This window comes from Homo sapiens, chromosome 6, assembly GCF_000001405.40.
Source record: "Homo sapiens chromosome 6, GRCh38.p14 Primary Assembly".
Lineage (NCBI taxonomy): Eukaryota > Metazoa > Chordata > Mammalia > Primates > Hominidae > Homo > Homo sapiens.
This window is the reverse complement of record NC_000006.12, coordinates 39,350,272-39,369,999: the sequence shown is the minus strand read 5'-3', so window position 1 is coordinate 39,369,999 and position 19,728 is coordinate 39,350,272. Positions and strand designations below refer to the sequence as shown.

The 19,728-nt window shown below is 47.9% G+C and overlaps 1 protein-coding gene, 1 long non-coding RNA gene and 1 pseudogene across 12 annotated transcripts in view, besides 1 other annotated feature; 1 reads left to right on the top strand and 2 right to left on the bottom strand.

Moving 5' to 3' along the window:
- LOC107986594 (uncharacterized) overlaps positions 1–18,749 on the bottom strand; it is a 38,190-nt gene extending 19,441 nt beyond the window's left edge. The window contains exons 1-3 of the long non-coding RNA XR_001744111.2: positions 18,589–18,749; positions 18,052–18,109; positions 4,086–4,266 (exon numbers count right to left, since the gene is read on the bottom strand). This is a non-coding gene — a long non-coding RNA (uncharacterized LOC107986594). The remainder of the gene's footprint in view (positions 1–4,085; positions 4,267–18,051; positions 18,110–18,588) is intronic.
- Positions 1–19,728, top strand: part of KIF6 (kinesin family member 6) — a 395,419-nt gene that overhangs the window by 355,409 nt on the left and 20,282 nt on the right. For 10 of the 11 annotated variants that reach the window (NM_001289020.3, NM_145027.6, NM_001289021.3 and 7 more), the window contains 3 exons: positions 7,482–7,566; positions 9,470–9,605; positions 12,626–12,723. In NM_001289020.3, coding sequence (NP_001275949.1) covers positions 7,482–7,566; positions 9,470–9,605; positions 12,626–12,723 — 319 coding nt within the window. Of the gene's footprint in view, positions 1–7,481; positions 7,567–9,469; positions 9,606–12,625; positions 12,724–19,728 lie in introns of those variants that run through there. The other variant, XR_001743238.2, reaches the window with a different exon arrangement.
- Positions 15,496–15,995: an enhancer, noted in NCBI's record as "H3K4me1 hESC enhancer chr6:39321781-39322280 (GRCh37/hg19 assembly coordinates)". NCBI's record gives its function as "activates a minimal SCP1, AML or CMV promoter by ChIP-STARR-seq in naive H9 embryonic stem cells {active_cell/tissue: H9 hESC(naive)}" and the evidence as "EXISTENCE:reporter gene assay evidence [ECO:0000049][PMID:30033119]".
- ANKRD39P1 (ANKRD39 pseudogene 1) lies at positions 15,502–16,155 on the bottom strand (annotated as a pseudogene).

Here is a 19,728-nt window from a genome sequence, read left to right as displayed (position 1 = left end):
AGGCTGGGAGAGGTGCTGTGCACCAGGGAAAAAGGGGAACCTTGTGGGTCAGACCCAGAAATCACCGAGCCAGGCTCTTAGTGGTGGTGATAAGAGAAATGCAGACCAGTAACCAAAAGATGGATCTGGGGTTCCAGCAGAAGGAGTCGTGGAGAGAGATGAGAGAGAGCTCCCATTTGAACAGAGGTGACCATGAATAGGATCCATGCCAAGTTCAAGCAGTAATAAGATTAGGAATGTCTTCCCTGTGTATGGTGTATGGCCCTAGGGTCTCCTTTATATTGCCGACTGACCCTAGTACACGCTGACCCTCTGACTTTACAGTCTGCCTCCTCCACAGAGAACATGCTGGTGAGAAGGAGCAGATCTGAAGGAGAGAGGCCGCCATCCCTGGGGGACAACCTTGGACAGAGAGGCCCACAGTCGTAGCAGGGAAGATTACTCACACAGGAAGAGATGGTGGATGGCCTTCTATGAGGGGACTGTCAGGGCCTGGGTTTTGCTACAAGCAGGCATCTGGCACGTTTCTGATTGTAATAAAGTACAGCCATTTATCTTCTCACAGAGTGCCCTGCTCTTCCTGAGGGGAAGGCAGTGGCAGTGAGCGCAGGGTCTGTGGCAGTGGGGGTGAGTGTGCCCAAGAAATTATCAGGTACAGCCATGTGTCCGCAGGGTCATTCAGCACACCCTTAAATCTGGGCATGCTTGGGTCCGCTAAGGTGTTACAAAATCAGCACCAGGATGGATGGCAGCACTGAGCACCCGTCGGCATGTGACGGCTCCAGCTGACAGTAAATTTGAGCCATTAAACAGGAAATGGTCTGATTGGGAAGCCAGAATCTTTGCCTCTGAGCTGCTGACCATTGTGGTAATTGAGCTATGAACACCATCAATCTCCGTAAGAATAGACACTTTGTCTTCTCAAACAAGGTGAGGCTGAAGTGATCTATGGTTGTGTGAGACAGCTGAGCCCCAAGGAGGCCCAGAGTGGGTATTCAGCAAATGAATCATTAGTTGGGTAGTTGGATGGCCAAGACGACCACCTGGAATGCCTCCTGGCTCTGATGTCTTGTCTGCCATGGTAGAGCCACATAACTCACTTCCCCTTCCCACGCAGGGCACTGGTTAGGTGACAGCCATGTGGGCCCCACAGCCTTTGCTCTACAGAGGCCCAGAGGGCCCCTTTTGGCTTTGGTGAATGCTTGGAAATTTCAACATCATCTTCTTTAGGATTCCTAGTCCAGCCAAGGGCATGGAACAGGCTGGCTGTGGGCATTCTGTGGGCTGACCCTGGAGAGTGGGTATATAGCTCCTCACACCTAGCAGGCAAGCTGCAAATGCCATATGGGATTGGGGCACAGGTCATGGATTTCGGTTATTAAAGGGCAGACTTCACAGGCCAGCACCAGGGGAAGACACTAAGACTGTCTCTCAGCCCCAGCCCCAGATCTGAAAGGCATTCATGGAAAAGAGCAACACCTTCAAATACCAACGACGAGTCAATACAGACTTCAATAATCTGCCCTGTGGCTTCCTTCATTATTGGAATCACTTACAGAGGAAAGAGCACCAGCTTTGAAATCGGACAGAGCCAGTTCTCCCACTAGCTCTGCTTACCAGCAGTGCCATCCTGGGCGATTACTTCCTCTATCAAAGCTCAGTTTCCCCACTTGGAGTGGGAGTTGTAGATTATACAAGACAATACATATGAAGTTCCTAACCCATGTAGCAGCTGTGCGATGGTTATGGTTATTCAGATTTTATCAAGCACCTACAAGGGCCCGATGCAGGCAGTTTCAACCTTACAGAGAGTGTGCTTTCCTGGTTGCAAACCCCTGAAGCCCTATTTACTTTTATCACAGTGGCTCCCAAATGTCTGGAAAGCAGGCAGGCATGTAGGGGACGTGCTGGCTCCTACACACCATCCTATCTAAACTTCTGTAGGGCCTGTATTCTCAGTAACTTCTGCACAGAGTACTTGCATTGAAACTGGGCTTGAAGCCATAAGCAGTGTTTCTTAACAAGGGGTGAGCATTGGAATCACCAGGGGACCCTATTGACAAATTTTAACTCAGTAGGTCTGGAGTAGGGCCCAGCTGTCTGTGTGCTTTTACAAGCTCCTTAAGTGATTCTGATGTGCACCCCCAGTTGAGAACCATTGAACCAAAAAAACTATTCTGCACATTTCAAATATCAGATAACTGCGTGGGAGAGAGAGCGTTTGAGAGGAGGGCATGGGGAAGTGGGACAAGGAGTTGCAGAGATCTTTCCAGTAGAAATTATGTCAGGAAGGAGGGGGTCCACATCTTGACTGGCCTTCCCAGCAAGAGCCCCTCTGGTCCTTGCACGGCTAATTCCAAAACACCCGTGACTTCAGAGATAAGGTCAGCCTGGGACTGTGCGTCTGTGCGTCCTCCCAACTTGAAGCTTCAGTTACTGTTTGACTGCTCAGGGCTTCTTCCTGTGTGCCATTCAGACCTACAGCCACTGAGTGAAACCCTTCTCTTGCTTTTGTACTGCTTTGGAGGCAGCTGCCTCCCCACAGATGAACAGTGTGACCTCGCAGGCCACTCGGCACTGTGAGCTCCTGTGCTGCTGTCCCAGCCAGAATCCTGTCCTTGAAAGGAGGGCTCCCTGTGCCTCCTGTCAGGTGATGGGAGGCTCTGTCCCTGGCCAGAGTCCCCGTGGGGATGGAGACCTACAAAACTCAAATGCCCTTTGTAGTTACTCCCTCTTCTTCTGTTCTTGCTCAGTGGCTTTTATTTGGTTCCCTTTGAGTTCCCAGCCCCTATTTCTCTTCAGAGGTTACTGATGAGCCAAGCCTCAGAACATATCAGAAGCAGCCAGAGGCTGTCTCCTGGTGAGGCTGCAATGCATTTCACCAAGCAGACATCACCTTGGGCAGCAGGCCCATTTGGTTGTCATGACAACGTGGGTAGTTTGTGTCGTGGAGTGTGCTGTGCCCTCATTCTGGCTTCCCAAGGTCCCTTGCCCCAGCTTTCTTTCCCAGACCCTTTCAACAGACTCCCGGCTTCCTGGCGCCACCTCCACATTAACTGTTGTTCAATTTGGAGTAGCTTTGTCTTGATCAGCAAAAAAAAAAAAAATGCTCAACTTAGCTTTCAAAGGAATAGATCGAGCCCATTCCTCTCCTCAAAATACTCCCATCTCTCTCAAAGCCAGTGTCCTTACCATGGCTCCCAAGATCCTCCAGGGTCTGGCCTCAGTTTCTTCACTGACTTCAGCTCCCACCACGATTTCCCTTCCCAACCGCTCCTGGCCTTCTCATTGTTGTTAGATGCAGCAAGCAGGCTCACACCTCAGGCCTTTTGCACTTACTGTTGCACATTCTGTGCCCCGATTTCTGCATGCCTGTTCCCTTCCTCCATTCAGGTCACTGCTCAAATGTCCCCCCACTTAGAGGCCCTCACCCACCCTACCTAGCATGGCAGTCTTCCACCCTGTCATCCTGTCTTTTTACCCAGCTTTGTCTTTCCTCATAGCACCTTCCGATCCCCAGCATGATGTTGCAGACTCAATTGTTTGTGGTTTTAGTGTCTGTCTTCCCCACTGGAATCCCCCTAGAACAGGGGCAGGCACATAGTCAATGCTCGATAAACATTTGTTAAATAAGCGGATGAGTGACTAGACTTGGATCCAAAGCCTGGCGCTGCTATTTGGTAGCTTTGTGGCATCGCACAAGCCACCCAGTCACCCTAAGCCTTGGTCTTCCTGATTGTGAAGCAGAGGTGATCATGTCTGCCAGCTGAGGTGGTGAGAATGAAAGTGGTGTTGCGCAGGGAATGGGCTCAAGCGACTCCCCAGATGGCGTTGATGTTATCATTCTGTGCTTGTGTCAGCTGCATTCAGAATGTGCTCCTTGCCTAAGGCTCCCGAGCACCCCACACACTTCCAGGGCACCTGAGACTCTGTGACCTGCCAGGGAACCTGCAAGATGCCCAAGGAAAAGACAACCAGTCATGGGCTGAGGCAAGAGCCTGCCTCCTACAGAGGGGCTCTGCGTTCACATGGGGTGACCGCAGCCTTTAAATGGAAAAGCAGGCCGCCCTGGCCGTCCCCCCTACCTTCTGCTGTCTGTTCACCAAGGCCTGGAGACTGCCTCTTCTGGCCGGGTGAGATGGCCCTGTGTGAGTCCAGCAGCCCTTCCTCCGCCCGCCTCCAGCAGTCTCTCACGTACTGGGCTTGCAGCAGGACGTCTAGCCAGTCACCGCAGAGTGGGGCTTCACTGAATTTCTTGGGGGTGTCCTTGGGGTGGGGACAAAAGTGTTAAAAGGAGGAAGGAAATTCACAGTGTTACTTTTTTAGCAGGCTGGAAGATACCTGGGCCCATTTCTGAAACTTTTTAAAAAGGAATTGTTTGTCCATTGAAAGTCCTACCATTGTCGGTTTCATATTAAGATACTTCCTTCAGTTTATCATGTCTGATGACTTTCAAAGAAGGCAAGGCCAGCAAACATGCGAGGCACTGAGTCACCCTCATGGAGTGACTCATGGAGTCTGAACACAGCACTGGGGGAAGACACTAAGAGCAGGAGGACCCCAATCTCTGCCCTTGAGGGCTTCCTGTGCCTGAGACTTGGGGGGCTGTGGGTGATGTGGACAGGCGGGCTGCCTCATCTGAGCCAATAAATTGCACCAACACAGATGACAGTGTGGACTTCAGGTGGGATGTTGATGGTATCTGCATGTCCTGTGTTTAGATAATGAAATAAGACACTTGCTCTGCCTGTCGATTTAAAGTTGGCAATTGACATAAGGAAAAGGGGGGTCAATGGCACCTGGAAGATGACAGACAGAATCGTGATCCAGTTAGCATAGTTATCAGTAAGCTAATGACACAAAAGACACAGGTAACAAATGGGTAAGGGAGTCAAAGGGGAAGAATAATGGCGTGACAGAATAAGGACCTCTCAGCAGACTAGGCTGCCAATAAATGTGAAGTGTTGCCTTTGGGATCAAAAGGACAATCACACTGAAACAGGACGCATTTTAACAATCACTTATTTTTAAAAAATGCAAGTTTTAAAACTGACCACAAGCTTAATAGGGGCCAACCACGACAGAGCTGCTAAAAATCATAAGCAGTGTTGGGGAGGCTGTCTGGTAGAAACATTTAGCTCCTTGGAATCAGAAAAAAACAAATGGGTTCACATCCCAGCTCTGCTATTTAGTAGCTATGTAACCTTGAGTTATCCATGGCCCTCTCTGAGACCAAGAATCTAGCTGAAAGAAGATGGCAATGCCATCCTTGAAGGGTTATTTTGAGAATTAGCAATAGGGTACATGGAGGACCTAGCCCAGTGCCTAGTAGAATTTGGCAGAACTTAGAACATAGAAAGTCCCCAGTAAATGGTCATTGTTAGTAATTCACCTACTACAAAAATATAGAGCTTAAATTTTTAAAAGGTAAGAGGAGCCCTACTCTACTCTATACCTTTCAGACCCATGGAAGTATTATGTCAAGACCTAGCCTTCACACTTAAGATAAATGGGAAAGTAACCAGGTCACTGAGACTTCAGGTGAGGGATTGAGCAGGAGTCAGTCTAAGAAAAAAAAGGGGGCTGGGCGCGGTGGCTCACACCTGTAATCCCAACACTTTAGGAGGCCGAGGTGGGTGGATCATGAGGTCAAGAGATCGAGACCATCCTGGCCAACATGGTGAAACCCCATCTCTACTAAAAATACAAAAATTAGCTGGGCGTGGTGGTGTGCACCATACCACTACCACACCACCCTGGGATGGACTACATCCCAGCTACTCAGGAGGCTGAGGCAGGAGAATCGCTTGAACCTGGGAGGCAGAGGTTGCAGTCAGTGGAGATCGCGCTGCTGCACTCTAGCCTGGTGACAGTGCGAGACTCCATCTCAAAAAAAAAAAAAAGTTCCAGACACATGTGATATTTTGATGTTGTTGTTCAGATATTTAAGGGACCATCAGATTAAGAAGAAAGATATGCTACACTGCTCCAAAGAGCCAAAGTAGAGGTGAAAAGAAGTTAGCGGGAAATGTCTTGGCTCAAAAGTAGGAGGAAACAGAGCTGTCCGCCATGAAATGCACTACCCTGCAAAGTAGTGAGCTCCTCATCCCTGCAAGTATTTGAGCAGAAAGCAGATGACCCTCTGTCAGAAATGTTATACGAGGGATTTTTGAATCCAAGTTTCCTGAAGTTAGCCACATAACTTGGGCAGTTTACCCTCTTTGAACCTCAATATCCTTATCTGTAAAATGGGCATAATAACACTTACCACAAATAAATGCTATAAGGATTCAGTCTGAGCATGTCTGGAAGCACATGGACTGTAGCAGAGTCTTCCCTACATAGAGTAAAAAGCAGGGCTGTACGACTTCTAGGATGTTGTCTGTGGAGCTCAGAAAAGCAGGGCAACCACGAAGAGACTCCTAGAAGAATAAAAAGTCCCCACACTCTGGGCTAGGAGACAGCCAGCTTCAGATGAGCACACTAGCCAGAGCAGGCAACCAGGCACCAGTGGCAGTCATGTGGGGGAAGACAGAGGTCGGCATCAGCAGGGACGCAGACACACGCAGCAGCTGATCCCTGCTGACGTGCTCAGCCCTCCCCTGGGCCTCATGATGGTCCCATCGCCAAGGCTTGGGCTCATCCCTGGTTGTGAATTAACATGGCCTGCGTTCATCAGGCTTGAGAACCACTGCTGCAGAGGGAGTGAAAAACAGGAGACACGATTCTGAGGCTGGAAATTAAGCACCTCCACTTGTGCAGAGAAAGATGTCAGATGGTTTAGAGAGGTTTCCTTTTTTTGTGAAGGGCTTTTGTTTTTGTTTATCTGTTTGTTTTTGTTTGTTTGTTTGAGATGGAGTTTCTCTCTTGTTGCCCAAGCTGGAGTGCAATGGCATGATCTCGGCTCACTGCAACCTCCGCCTCCCATGTTCAAGCAATTCTCCTGCCTCAGCCTCCCGAGTAGCTGGGATTATAGGCGCCCGCCACCACGCCCAGCTAATTTTTGTATTTTTAGTAGAGACGGGGTTTGACCATGTTGGCCAGGCCAGTCTCGAACTCCTAACCTCAGGTGATCCTCCTGCCTCGGCTTCCCAAAGTGCTGGGATTACAAGCGTGAGCCACTGTGCCTGGCCCTGAAGGGCTCTTTATCAGAGGATGGGGAAATGCTATTTTGCGTCTTCCCTGGAAACTCAACAGGAAATGAATGAGCTCAATAGTAAAAGGATTAGTAGACACAGAGGAAGATTCCCTTCCAGTGACAGATGTTGGCAGTGGGAGGGACAGCAGAGGGACAATAACCCTGGAAGCTGCTCCTCTCAGGGCTTTCAGCTGAGCAGAGGTTGCCACCAAGAGGCCCCAGAAGGAACTCACAGAGGCTCCTTTCTTCTTGGGGTGCCCTTGAACTCTGTCATCTGCCCAAATATCACACTCTTCCTTTTACCCTTCTTTCTCACCATCCCATTGGCACCTTCCTTCTACAGGAATCTCGGAAAACATGGCCGTGCCTCTGATGCCAGACCAGCAGGAGGAGAAGCTGCGATCACAACTGGAGGAAGAAAAGAGAAGGTGCCCTTCCTTTTAGCCACACACAGTCCGAGCCCAGCCTCCCAGGGTCTCAGTGTCGTCCTGGAGCTTCCCAGGGCTGCAGCTACTCAGGGATGTGGGTCCAGCAGCTGGATCCTAGAACAGCAGGAGGAGGAGGGGCTGCCTTTGAGCAGGCAGGTGTGAAAGGCAGGACCCCAGGCAGTGTGAGGTTAGAATGCAGAACAAGCCAAGCCAGGCCCGGGAAGCAGCTGGGCTTGTCCACTGCTGCCACCTACGGGAGCCAAGAAATATGACCACGGTGGTTTTCCGCGTGCCTATGGCTGAAGTCCACTTCCCTCCGAGTCCTGAGAACGTCATACTCTCACGCAGCCGCAGGCATTTGGGGTCTCCAAACGACTTCACTTACAGAGTGAGGAGCCTCAAGCATAAACAGGCATGTAGCCATTCCTGATATACAGCATGGTCACCGAATCTTGCTCCACATGCTGATCAAGCTGCATCCACTCATTCATTGATGCATTTAGCACATGTGTGCTATCTCCTCCATGCCATGGGTAGGCTCTGGAGAGACTACAGTCATCTTCCCTGCCTCAAGGAGCTGGTGGTGTCACTGCAGCACACTCCCTGCCCCACCCCAACCCCCAGCTGACCTGGCATGCACCACCGCCCCTGCCCCCCGACGCACACCCAGGAGATCAAAGCCCCAGGCGCTGGTCTTCAGGTCGCTCCTGGCAGATGTGCAGGTGTCTTCCTACAGAAGTCTACCTGAGCACACACGCTGCTGTCGCTCTCCACTCCCTTGGGGCCCTCGCCAGTCGTCCACCTTCTCCCTCGCTCTGTTCATTTTCCTTAGTTTCTTTCCAACACCCCCCGCTTTTTTTTTTTTTTTTTTTTTTGAGATGGAGCCTCACTTTGTTTCCCAGGCTGCAGTGCAGTGGTGTGATCTTGGCTCACTGCAAACTCCATCTCCCGGGTTCAAGCAGTTCTCGTGCCTCAGCCTCTTGAGTAGCTGGGATTACAGCCACGCACCACAACACCCAGCTAATTGTGTATTTTTAGTAGAAACACGGTTTCACCATGTAGGCTCAGGTTGGTCTCAAACTCCTGACCTCAGGTGATCCACCCGCCTCAGCCTCCCAAAGTGCTGGGATTACAGGTGTGAACCACCACACCCAGCCTCCAACCCATTCTTCTTGTGTCTCTACTCCATCTTCATCTTGTCCCCTTGGCCCACATTTCCAATCTCAGTGTCACCTTAGAGGCCAACTTATCTCTTCGGCCTGGCTATTGGACTGTTTCCTATTGGACAATTTCTGATTCATTATAGCATTCTCAAAACCAATATATGTATGCGTTCATAAGCACAGTGTTACTTTTGGTCCTCAGCATGAAGGTGAGCCAGCGGAATGGTGAGGCAGTTAAGACTGTGGTTCTAGAACCAGACCACCTGGGTTCAAATCCTGGCTCCTCAGTTATCTCTGTCCCATAGAGCAAGTTATATAACCTCTTCATACCTGTCTCAGGTTCCGAATCTGTAAAATGGAGGTGATAATCATAGTATCTCCTTCATAGGGTTGTGAGGAGAATTAAATGAGTTTATATATGTTGAGTGCCTGCAGCAATGCTTATCCCTTAGTAAGTGCTCAGCAAATGGCAGTTCTCATTCTTGGGGGAGAGGCTATTCATCTCACACACAGATTCCCATGGGCCTACTGGACCAAAATGTCTCCGTCTGCTTCTCTGTGATGGACTCAAACCCTGGTGCCATAGCCTGGCCTCCGAAGCTCCTATAGGGTCCCAGTCCCTGAGCACCAGGGCAGCTCTGACGGGATTCTGAGGCACGGGCCCCATTCATTTACAGCCCTGCATCCATGCCGTGCTTTCAAGACAGCAGTGCCCTGACTCTTCCCCGATTCCACCGCAGGTATAAAACAATGTTCACTCGCCTGAAAGCCCTGAAGGTGGAGATCGAGCACTTGCAGCTGCTCATGGACAAAGCCAAGGTGAAGCTACAGAAAGAGTTTGAAGTCTGGTGGGCAGAGGAGGCCACCAACCTGCAGGTATGGCCTGGGGAACATCAGGGAAGCTGGGGAGGGGCCAGTCATGCAGCCCCACTGGGGCTGTCAAGAGACACAGTGGGGGCTTTGACCCACAGGCCCCCATGGTCTCAGCCCCTGCTCATGAAGCAGGTGCTCACTGTAGTAACAAGGATGACAAAAGGGCAGGGGTTCATTGTTTCCTTGCTGTCATGCCTAAAATTCTGCCTGATTAATGGAAAAATTAGGGATAAAAGATGCAGCTCCCAAAAATCAGTGGGTTTGCCACCAATGCTTTGTGTGATATTCTCCACTGATTTCCTACTGACATTTATTGTTTTTCTTATCATAGTCATATATATGTGAATATGAATTATAGAAATTTTACTAGGCAGAAAAACACAAAGAAGAAAGTAAAAATCACCATAATTCCTCTACTTAAATGTAATTGATATTAACATGTTTGATTATATTCTTTTACCTTGATTTCTATGCATATATATCCATATGTTTTTGTACAAATAGAATCAGGCTGGGCACGGTGGCTCATGCCTGTAATCCCAGCACTTCAGAAGGCTGATCACCTGAGCCCAGGAGTTCAAGACCAGCCTGGTTAACATGGCAAGACCCTGTCTCTACCAAAATGAACATAAAAATAATTAGCCAGGCTAATTATGTGGTAGTATGTGCCTATAGTCTCAGCTACCTGGGAGTCTGAGATGGGCAGAGTGCTTGAGCCTGGGAGGTCGAGGCTGCAGTGAGCAGTGATAGACCCACTGCACTCCAGCCTGGGTGACTGAGCAAGGCCCTGTCTCAAAATAATAATAATAATAATAATAAATCACATAGCTGTTCAAGTATCGCAAATGGCTTTTAAAAATTAATTGTATAGCATGGCTACTTTTTCATGTTATTATCCTACAGCGTTGTTTTAATGGCTGTTACTGTTCCATCATGTAAATATGTTTTAATCTCCTATCGCTGAATATTTAGGTTGTTTCTAGTTTTTTACTCAAAACATATTTGCAGATAATTTTTTGCATATTTCCTAGACAAATTCTTAGAAGTTTTCTGTTTGATGAAGGCTAAAATGACCTTTCCATAAGTGTTAGCACAAAATCCCAGTTTCAGTTTTCCTCATGTAACACCTCAGTTGTGGCACAGCGGAAGTGCTAAAATACGCACAATCAGATCCCTTTTCTGGCTGGCAGAATGCTTACTGATTATCTGACAGGCTGATCCCTTCATTTTAAGGACAAGAAAACTGAGAGCCAGAGAAGATGATTTGCCAAGGACATAGCCAAGCAATAACCAGTGTGATAGCAAGTGGCCACGCGGCAGGACAATGGAGAAGAATATTTGGATAAAATTAAATACACGAGATAACAAAGAAAACTAGTTAGAATGAAATACGGTTATCAAAATATTTTGAGTTATGGTATAGTAATACATGTACCACTTTTAAAACGCACTAATTAATAAGATCTAGGTGTAGGCCCAATATTTATCATAACTTCAAAGTCATGATGAAATGACACAATATTTCAAGATCTCTACACCAACTGTCAGGTGATATGAAAATATGCTTGATTTCCGTTGGTGACAAAGTCACAGGTATTGCTAATACTTTTGTGGTTTCTTGTCTGCATTTATCACTGAAAGAAATAATTTCAGGTAGCAGCTAGGGGAAATGCAGCTGTGATTGGCTCCCATCCACATTGGCAGAGCCCCTGGATTCTGTCTGTGGACTCCAGGTTAAGAGCCCTTCCTGGCAAGTTCATCAGTGAATGAGGCCTTCCCCAGCTGGTGCCCGAGGGAGTCCACCACTGACCGGTCGACAAGGGTCATACCAGCGAAACTCAGGAAGTGTCCAGGCAAAGCTGACACATTCAGACAGTGTATGACTTACAGAGACAGCGAAAGCCAGAGTAGGCAAGGGTGTCAGCTCCATGTGTCCCCTGCCCCACAGGATGTCACTGAAACAAAAGGGACCAGATGACAGCAAGGGGGATGGTGGGATACACTGGTACAGAGGGGCCAATTCCATGCTGCCCCTGAGCAGTTCTATAGCCTGCAGCTGTACCCTCAGTGGGCAGAGGCAGAAAGCTCCAAACCTCATTAGAACAAGAGAGGTGACAAGAAACTTCTAGGATAGCCTTCTGGGAGGATAGGGAAGCAAGTGGGAAATAACCTAGTAGCAACCACTCACAAGCTTCCTGTATGCACTCACGTTCCAGGAGGCTTACAGGGCATTCTGCCAAGACTTAGACCAGCTGTGATCTATGCCTTGCTCTTGAGGCCTATGTGGGGACATGCAGCTTGCAGAGCTGTTCCCCTACACAAAGTGCTCGGTGGATGTCTCCTGACTTTAGTAGGGGGTCTTTGGGACAAGGAGAAGCAAAACCAGAAAGTATTTTTGAAGAATGAAGATAACATTTTAAACAATTTTTTCCTATCTTTAAAAAGGAATACATGTTCAACGTGGAAAACTTGGAAAGCACAGGAAAGCATAAAGAATAAATTAAACATTACCCATAATTCTTTACCATCCCTAGACAATATGTTGAAGCCATCATTATGGTCATTACCATGTCTAGATTTGTTTTTGGCCATACACCTTGTGTACACTAACTTTTATAGCTGGCTTGTTCCCCTTAAGAATTACATCAAGGCCGGGTATGGTGGCTCATGCCTGTAATCCCAGCACTTTGGGAGGCCAAGGTGAGCAGATCAACTGAGGTCAGGAGTTCGAGACCAGCCTGGCCAACATGGCAAAACACCGTCTCTACTATAAATACAAAAATTTGCCGGGCATGATGGCGGGTGCCTATAATCCCAGCTACTCGGGAGGCTGAGGCAGGAGAATTGCTTGAACCCAGAAGGCAGAGGTTGCAGTGAGCTGAGATCGCGCCACTGCACTCCAGCCTGGGCAACAGAGCGAGACTCCATCTCAAAAAAAAAAAAAAAAAAGAATTACATCAAAAACATCTTCCTATGTCATTAGATTCAAGCTAACACTGTGAAACTCCTTCTGGGGCCAACAGGTAAATTCTCCAGCAGTGAATTCACTCGATCACACGAAGCCATTTCTCCAGACATCTGACTCCCAGCATGAATGGTCCCAACTCCTCTCTAACAAAAGGTAAGGTGAGAACTCACCGGAGGTGTTAGAGTTCCCAGAAAAGGCTCCCTACCTTTCTGTTTAACCTATTCCTGTGGCTCTCATGTCTCTTGATAAGCCATATGATCCAGCAGGATTAATTCCTTTTACTGTTTAATTAGTCGTAGATACTCAAGACAGTGGCTTTCAAGTTGGTTGGAGTGCACACCCCTTCAGTCCCTCACTCTGACAGCCAGTAGACCTACTGCCATGGTAACAAGAGACAAGAGGTTTCACAATCAAGCCCTGGTCCTGCCTCCTGAGTGGGAAGAAGGGATTGGCAGGAATGGAACAGGGTCATAGCATGGGAGAAGGGGGTTTGGGGGACAGTGGTGGTGGGACAGTGGGTAGCCCGCCTACTGAGACACAGGGGAGCTCTTCGTCCTAGCCAGGATCCAGGTAGCCTCCAAAAACACCACATGAGGATGGCCCAGAGCCAGTCTCCCTACATGATGGGATGACCAGCAGGGACTCTACTTCCCCACAACCATGTTATTGTCTCTTTCCAACCACACAACCCAGGGGGTAGCACCGAGGAAGCACGCCTCCTGCCATTGTCCATCTGATGCCAGAGGCCAGGATAGTATGTGTGGGGCCTCCGTCTCTGCCACCAAGGAGCAATCCTTTGGGTTTGAAGGGGTGCTGAGCCCTCACATTAGAAATATAAAATAGGGCTTTAAAAAAGGTGTCAGAGGGCCGGGCACGGTGGCTCATGCCTGTAATCCCAGCACTTTGGGAGGCCAAGGTGGGTGGATCACCTGAGGTCAGGAGTTCAAGACTAGCCTGACCAACATGGGGAAGCCTGTCTCTACTAAAAATACAAAAATTAGCCAGGTGCGGTGGCACACGCCTGTAATCCCAGCTACTTGGGGGGCTGAGGCAGGAGAATCACTTGAACCCAGGAGGCAGAGGTTGTAGTGAGCTGAGATCGTGCCACTGCACTCCAGCCTGGGCGACAGAGACTCCGTCTCAAAAAAAAAAAAGAAGAAGGTGTCAGACAGTCCCCATGATATGATGTGATAAGAGTGGCACTCTACCTCTGTGGCCTTTCTCTCAGAAACCCATAACATCAGTCAAAGAATGAGGAAAACATCAGACACATCCCAATGGAAGGACACTCTACAAAATACTGACTAGCATGCCTCAAATTGTCAAGGTCCCCAAAAACCAAGTGTGAGACTCGGTCACAGCCAAGAGGAGCCTAGGGAGACACACCACCGAGATGTAAAGTGGCGTCCTGGGTGGGAGCCTGGAACAGAAAAAGGCTTTAGGGAAAAACTAAGAAAAGTCCAGTAAAGTATGGCCTTTAGTTAATAACAATGTATCAATATCGGTTCAGTGATTGTGGCAAATGAACCACACTAAGGTAAAACTGCCCGATAGGGGAAGCTGGGTACAGGCTACATGGGATCTCCATGCACTATCTTTCCAACTTTTCTGTAAATGTAAAACTATTCTTTAAAAAAAAAAAAAAAGTATTCTTAAAAAACAACTATTGTCCAGGCGTGGTGGCTCATGCTTGTAATCCCAGCATTTTGGGAGGCTGAGACGGGCGGATCACCTGAGGTCAGGAGTTCAAGACCAGCCTGGCCAACATGGTGAAACCCCATCTCTACTAAAAATACAAAAATACCAGGTGTGGTGGTGCATGCCTGTAATCTCAGCCACTCGGGAGGCTGAGGCAGGAGAATCGCTGGAACCCAAGAGGTGGAGGTTGCAGTGAGCCGAGATCGCACCACTGCACTCCAGCCTGGGCGACAGAGCGAGACTCTGCCTCAAAAAAAAAAAAAAAAAAAAAAGACTTCTTAAAATTAAAAGGCCAGCCAGTGAGCCCTCAACACCAACCAGGTTGAGATTTTCCTTGGACTTTCCCAGATCCTCCAATCTGGCTGTTGGTGCCAGCACTTCAGCCTGTATTCTAACTTTTTGGAGTGACTTTGTTTTTATACTTAAAGAAAAAAAATGTTTAATGTATATAGATACATATATATGTGTATATATATAAAACAGATCAATATGCAGAATATAAACAACTCCTATGGATCAATGAAATGAAAAACATTCTTTTTTTCTTTGAGACAGGGTTTCACTCTCACTCATGCTGGAGTACAGCAGTGTGATCACGGCTCACTGCAGCCTCGACCTCCTGGGCTCAGGCAATCCTCCTGCCTCAGCCTCCTGAGTAGTTGGGATTACAGGCACGTGCCACCATACATGGCTAATTTAAAAATATAGATATTGTTTGTAGAGGAAGAGTCTCACCATGTTGCCCAGGCTGGTCTTGAATTTCTTGGCTCAAGTGATCCTCCCACCTTGGCCTCTCAAAGTGCTGGGATTGCAGGTGTGAGCACCACACCTGGCCAACATTTTTTAAATGGGCATGGGCAGGCAGTTCATGGAAGACAGGTGCTCAACTTCACTAGTCATTAGCAATGCAAACTAAAACAAGGCAGTAGCACTTTTCTACCTATCAGACTGTTGAAATTAATGAAATCATGGTATAGCAGCAAGTGCTGATTGCATGGTGGGGCAGCGGGTCCTGTCCTAGGCTGCTTGCTGTGGGCCACTCTCTCAAGGGCTTTCCCAATGCTTACCCAATTAGTGACCACCATGACTTTGAGGCCAGGCCCTATTATAACCATTCTCAGCTTCCAGATGAGGCAACGGAGAAGTAGGTCAAATGACTTGTACCAAGGTCATTCAGCTAGAAAGCAGCTTTTGTCACCTATTCCATATTTTCTTCTAGTTCCTACATCATTGTGTGTTTTTACATTTAGATCTTTAATCTTGCATTGTGTCTTTGCATATGGGATGAGGTAAGGACATAACTTCTTTTTTCCAAATGGATAGATGTCCCATGTGAGCCAGTTTGGGATATGATCATCTGTCCAAGCCTAAACACTTTCAGCCCCACCAAACCTACTCCCTTGCTTCCACAGTGGCCAGACTGGGGGTCTCCCTGGGTCTTCTAGCCTCAGTTTCCTGCCCTGCAGTATGGATGCTGAACAAGATGGGGGCTTAAAAACCTGGTCTGTGTACCCTGCAAGGGCAGCCTGAGACAGGAGGGTGGCAACTCAGCTAGCCAGCAGGTCACCGTTGCAGGGCAGCAGGTCACATGCTAGCCATGCCTTCCATCCCAGATGGCCTTCAGGGCTAAGCTATGTTGCAACAGGAGGGAGCAAATGTCCACGTGACCGTTCTCAGGAGCCTTATGTAGGCTGGTCATTGCCATCGTCATCTATCAATCTGGGCTTGGACCCATGTGAAAACAGAGGCCATGCAATGTCAGTGTGCCCTCAGTAGCAGTCCTGCTGCAGAGCAGTGGCACCCCCATGGGTCTGGGCATCACACTTAGCTCCACTTAGCAGTAGGAACTGGCACACAGCATAGTGCCCATTGTGGCTGGCATAGTGCCATCCTGAAGTCCATCTCTCCAGCATCTGCTGCATGCCGGACACCGCACTAGGGAAGGAGCCACTGGGTCCATCTGCCCAGGGCTACAGCACCGCCATCCCAGACCCAGTGCCCTCTCACTGCCTCACATTCTGGTTTTAGGACACATCTCCTATGTGAGCCCCTGAGCCCAGGGTCAATAACTGACATGATGTGTTTTGTTTGGCTAGCCTGGTGTTTTGGAAGACAATGCAGATTCATGAAAGAAAAAATTGATGTTGGACTTTATTTAAAATTAAAACACCACTCTGCAAAAGATATTTTTAAAAGAATTAAAAGACAAGCTACAGACTGGGAGAAAATATTTGCAAAACATATATCTGATAAAGGACTTGTATCTGAAGTATACAAAGAGCTCTAAAAATTCAACAATAAGAAAATAAACCACTCAGTTTAAAAGTGGGCAAAAGATCTGAACAGCCACTTCACCAAAGAAGAGATACAGATGGCAAATAAGTACATGACAAGGTACACAACATCCTGTGTCACACAGGGAAATACAAATTAGAACAACAATGAGATACCACTACATACATATTAGAATGGCTAAAATAAAACAAAAAATGACAATTCCAAATGCCAGTGAGGATGTTGAGCAATAGGAACTCTCGTTCATTGCTAGAGGGAATGCAAAATGGTTTTGCACTCCCACAGCCACTTTGGAAGACAGTTTGATGGATTCTTGCAAAGCTAAATATGATCTTACCATACAATCCAGCAATTGCATTTTAGTTATTTACCTAATTGAGGTGAAAACTTATGTCCACAAAAAAAAACAGAATATGATTGTTCATAGTAGCTTTTTGTATAATTATTTATAATTGCCCAAAACTGAAAGCCACCAAGATGTCCTCCAAAAAGTGAATGAATAAACAAACCGTGGAATATTATTCAGCTATCAAGTCTGGGTGCAGTGGCTCAGGCCTGTTATCCCAGCACTTTGGGAGGCCAAGGTGGGTGGATCACTTGAGGTCAGGAATTCAAGAGCAGCCTGGCCAACATGGTGAAACCCAACCTCTACTAAAAATACAAAAATTTGCCAAGGATATTGGCATGCACGTGTAATCCCAGCTACTTGGAAGGCTGAGGCAGGAGAATCGCTTGAACCGAGGAGGCAGAGGTTGCAGTGAGCCGAGATCAAGCCACTGCACTCCAGCCTGGGTGACAGAGCAAGACTCCATCTCAAAAAAAAAAAAAAAGAGCTATCAGGCCATGAAAAGTGATGAACCTGCAATGCATATTGCTTAGTGAAAGATGCTCATATGAAAAGACTATGTATTATATGATTCCAACTATATAACATTCTGGAACAGGCAAAATTATGGACACAGTGAAATAGTCAGTGGTTGTCATGGACTTGTAGGGAGGAAAGGATGAATAGATGGAGCACAGGGAATTTTGGGGGCAGTGAAACTATTCTGTATGATATTGTAATGTTGCATAGATGATGTCATGCATTTGTCAAAATCCATAGAGCTGTACAGCACAAAGAGTGAACCCCTGCATAAACCATGGACTTTAGTTCATAATAATGTATCTATATTCATTCACCAGTTATAACAAATTTATCACACTAATACAAAATGTTAATAATAAGGAAAACTGAAAGGTGGGGAAGAGGAGTATAAGGGAATTCTCTGTACTATCTGCTCAATTTTCTGTAAACTTAAAACTTCTCTAAATAATAGTCTATTGATTTTTAAAACTGCAGAAGCAGAATAACTAGGCAGCTGCACTATGCCATGGCAATGCAGGCAGCTTAGCATTTGTGCCCTGCACCTGGCCCACTCCATGCATTCACCTGGGCACCTGCCAACCTCTAGAGGCCAGTAAATTTGAATTCCAACCCCTGTATACCTGCACCTTCCACACACGGAGCCCTCTCGCTGAAACTCCAGGACTCCACACAGCACATCTGAAAAACACAACGAGGAGGATTCAGCTTCCTCAATCATTGCTCTGGCTCTGTGCTGAGCCCTTGTGTATCTGCCCCATGAGAATAAGCTCTCCTTTCAGCTGTGAGGCTCAGAACCCCTGGCTATTTCTGTACCCTCTTTTCTGATCTCTTGGGTAGCTTCTACTGGTAGCAATATCCTGCTCAGCGAGTAGAAAGCCCTGTCTCTCATTTTTCCTTTGGCTTCAAAGACATTGAAGTGTGTACATGTGCATGTGTGTGTGTGTGAGAGAGAGAGAGAGGGGCAGGTGTGTCAGCAAGGGGCCCGACAGATGCAAGGTAGAAATACACTATGCTTGCCCAGGGACAGTGGTTCATGCCTGTAATCCCAGTACTTTGGGAGGCTAAAGCCGGTGGATCGCTTGAGCCAGGAGTTCAACACCAGCCTGGGCAACAAGGTGAAACCCCGTCTCTACAACAAAATATGAAAATATCCTTACCTCCCCACAAATCCATAGCCGGGCGTGGTGGCACATGCCTGTAGTCGCAGCTACTCAGGAGGCTGAGATGGTAGGATCTTTTGAGCCCAGAAGGTCAAGGCTGTAGTGAGCCAAGATCTGCACCACTGCACTCTAGTCTGGGTGACAGAGCGAGACCCTGTCTGAAAAAGAGAAAAAAAAAAGAAAGAAAAGAAATACACTGTGCTTGCAAAAAAAAAAAAAAAAAAAAGTTTAATCCTAGTGTTCAGAACCTTGAATTTGAAAGGTGTGCATCAGATCACCCACAGGAGCTTTTCCAAAAATCCTGCTCCCAGAGTCCCCACCCCCACCCCAAGCCCCTTCGGTGACTGCTGGCAGAAGGGTCTTGGGGAAGATGGCTCTCAGCCAGCCCTAGAGCGCTGTTCAGCCCTGTCCCCTGTGGTTGCTGCCGGCGAGCTGGTTGGATGCTCTAATTCCTGGGCAGAGATCACTGAGTGTCCTGAACAGTGTTTGTTAAAACACCTCAACTTGAGTGGCTGGCTGCCCCATATTTCCTCCTCCAACAGTTGTTGGAGTGCCAGCATTCCTGGATGGGACGGTCACACTAGGCAGGTGAGAGGAAAAGTAACCCCGCCAGAGACTGGAAAGGAAGAGCTCTAGGGGCTCCACCTCTGACAAAGAAATCCTTGCCACTTGCTTTAGATGCTGGTAGTAACGGGCCTACAGAACTCTGCCACGGTAAGCCAGGTAGGGAACCCTGTCTCAGGCCATCATGGCGTCTCAGACATTCCCTGTGAACATCTCACGTGAAGGATTCGCTGTTGGCATTCCCACGTTCCCAAGGGAGACAGCACTGGCCTTCTCCTCTGACGGCAATAATATCTCGTAGCCTTTGTAGAGGGCCCTCCTGGGCCAGGTGCAAAATACATGAGCACTGTGCCTACTATCATGGTCCCCCACTTTACAGGTGAAAAAATTCAGGCTCAGAGAGATGAAGTAGCTTGCCCAGGGTCACCAGCTAATCAGTGGTGAACTCAAACCCAGGCCTGTCGGAGTCGTGCACTCCCCTCATTCCTCACAGCAGTTGTGTTTAGGATCAATGACTGCCTTTTAGGGACACATGTCCATAATGTTATCTAGTAGGTGTTGGCATTTACCAGC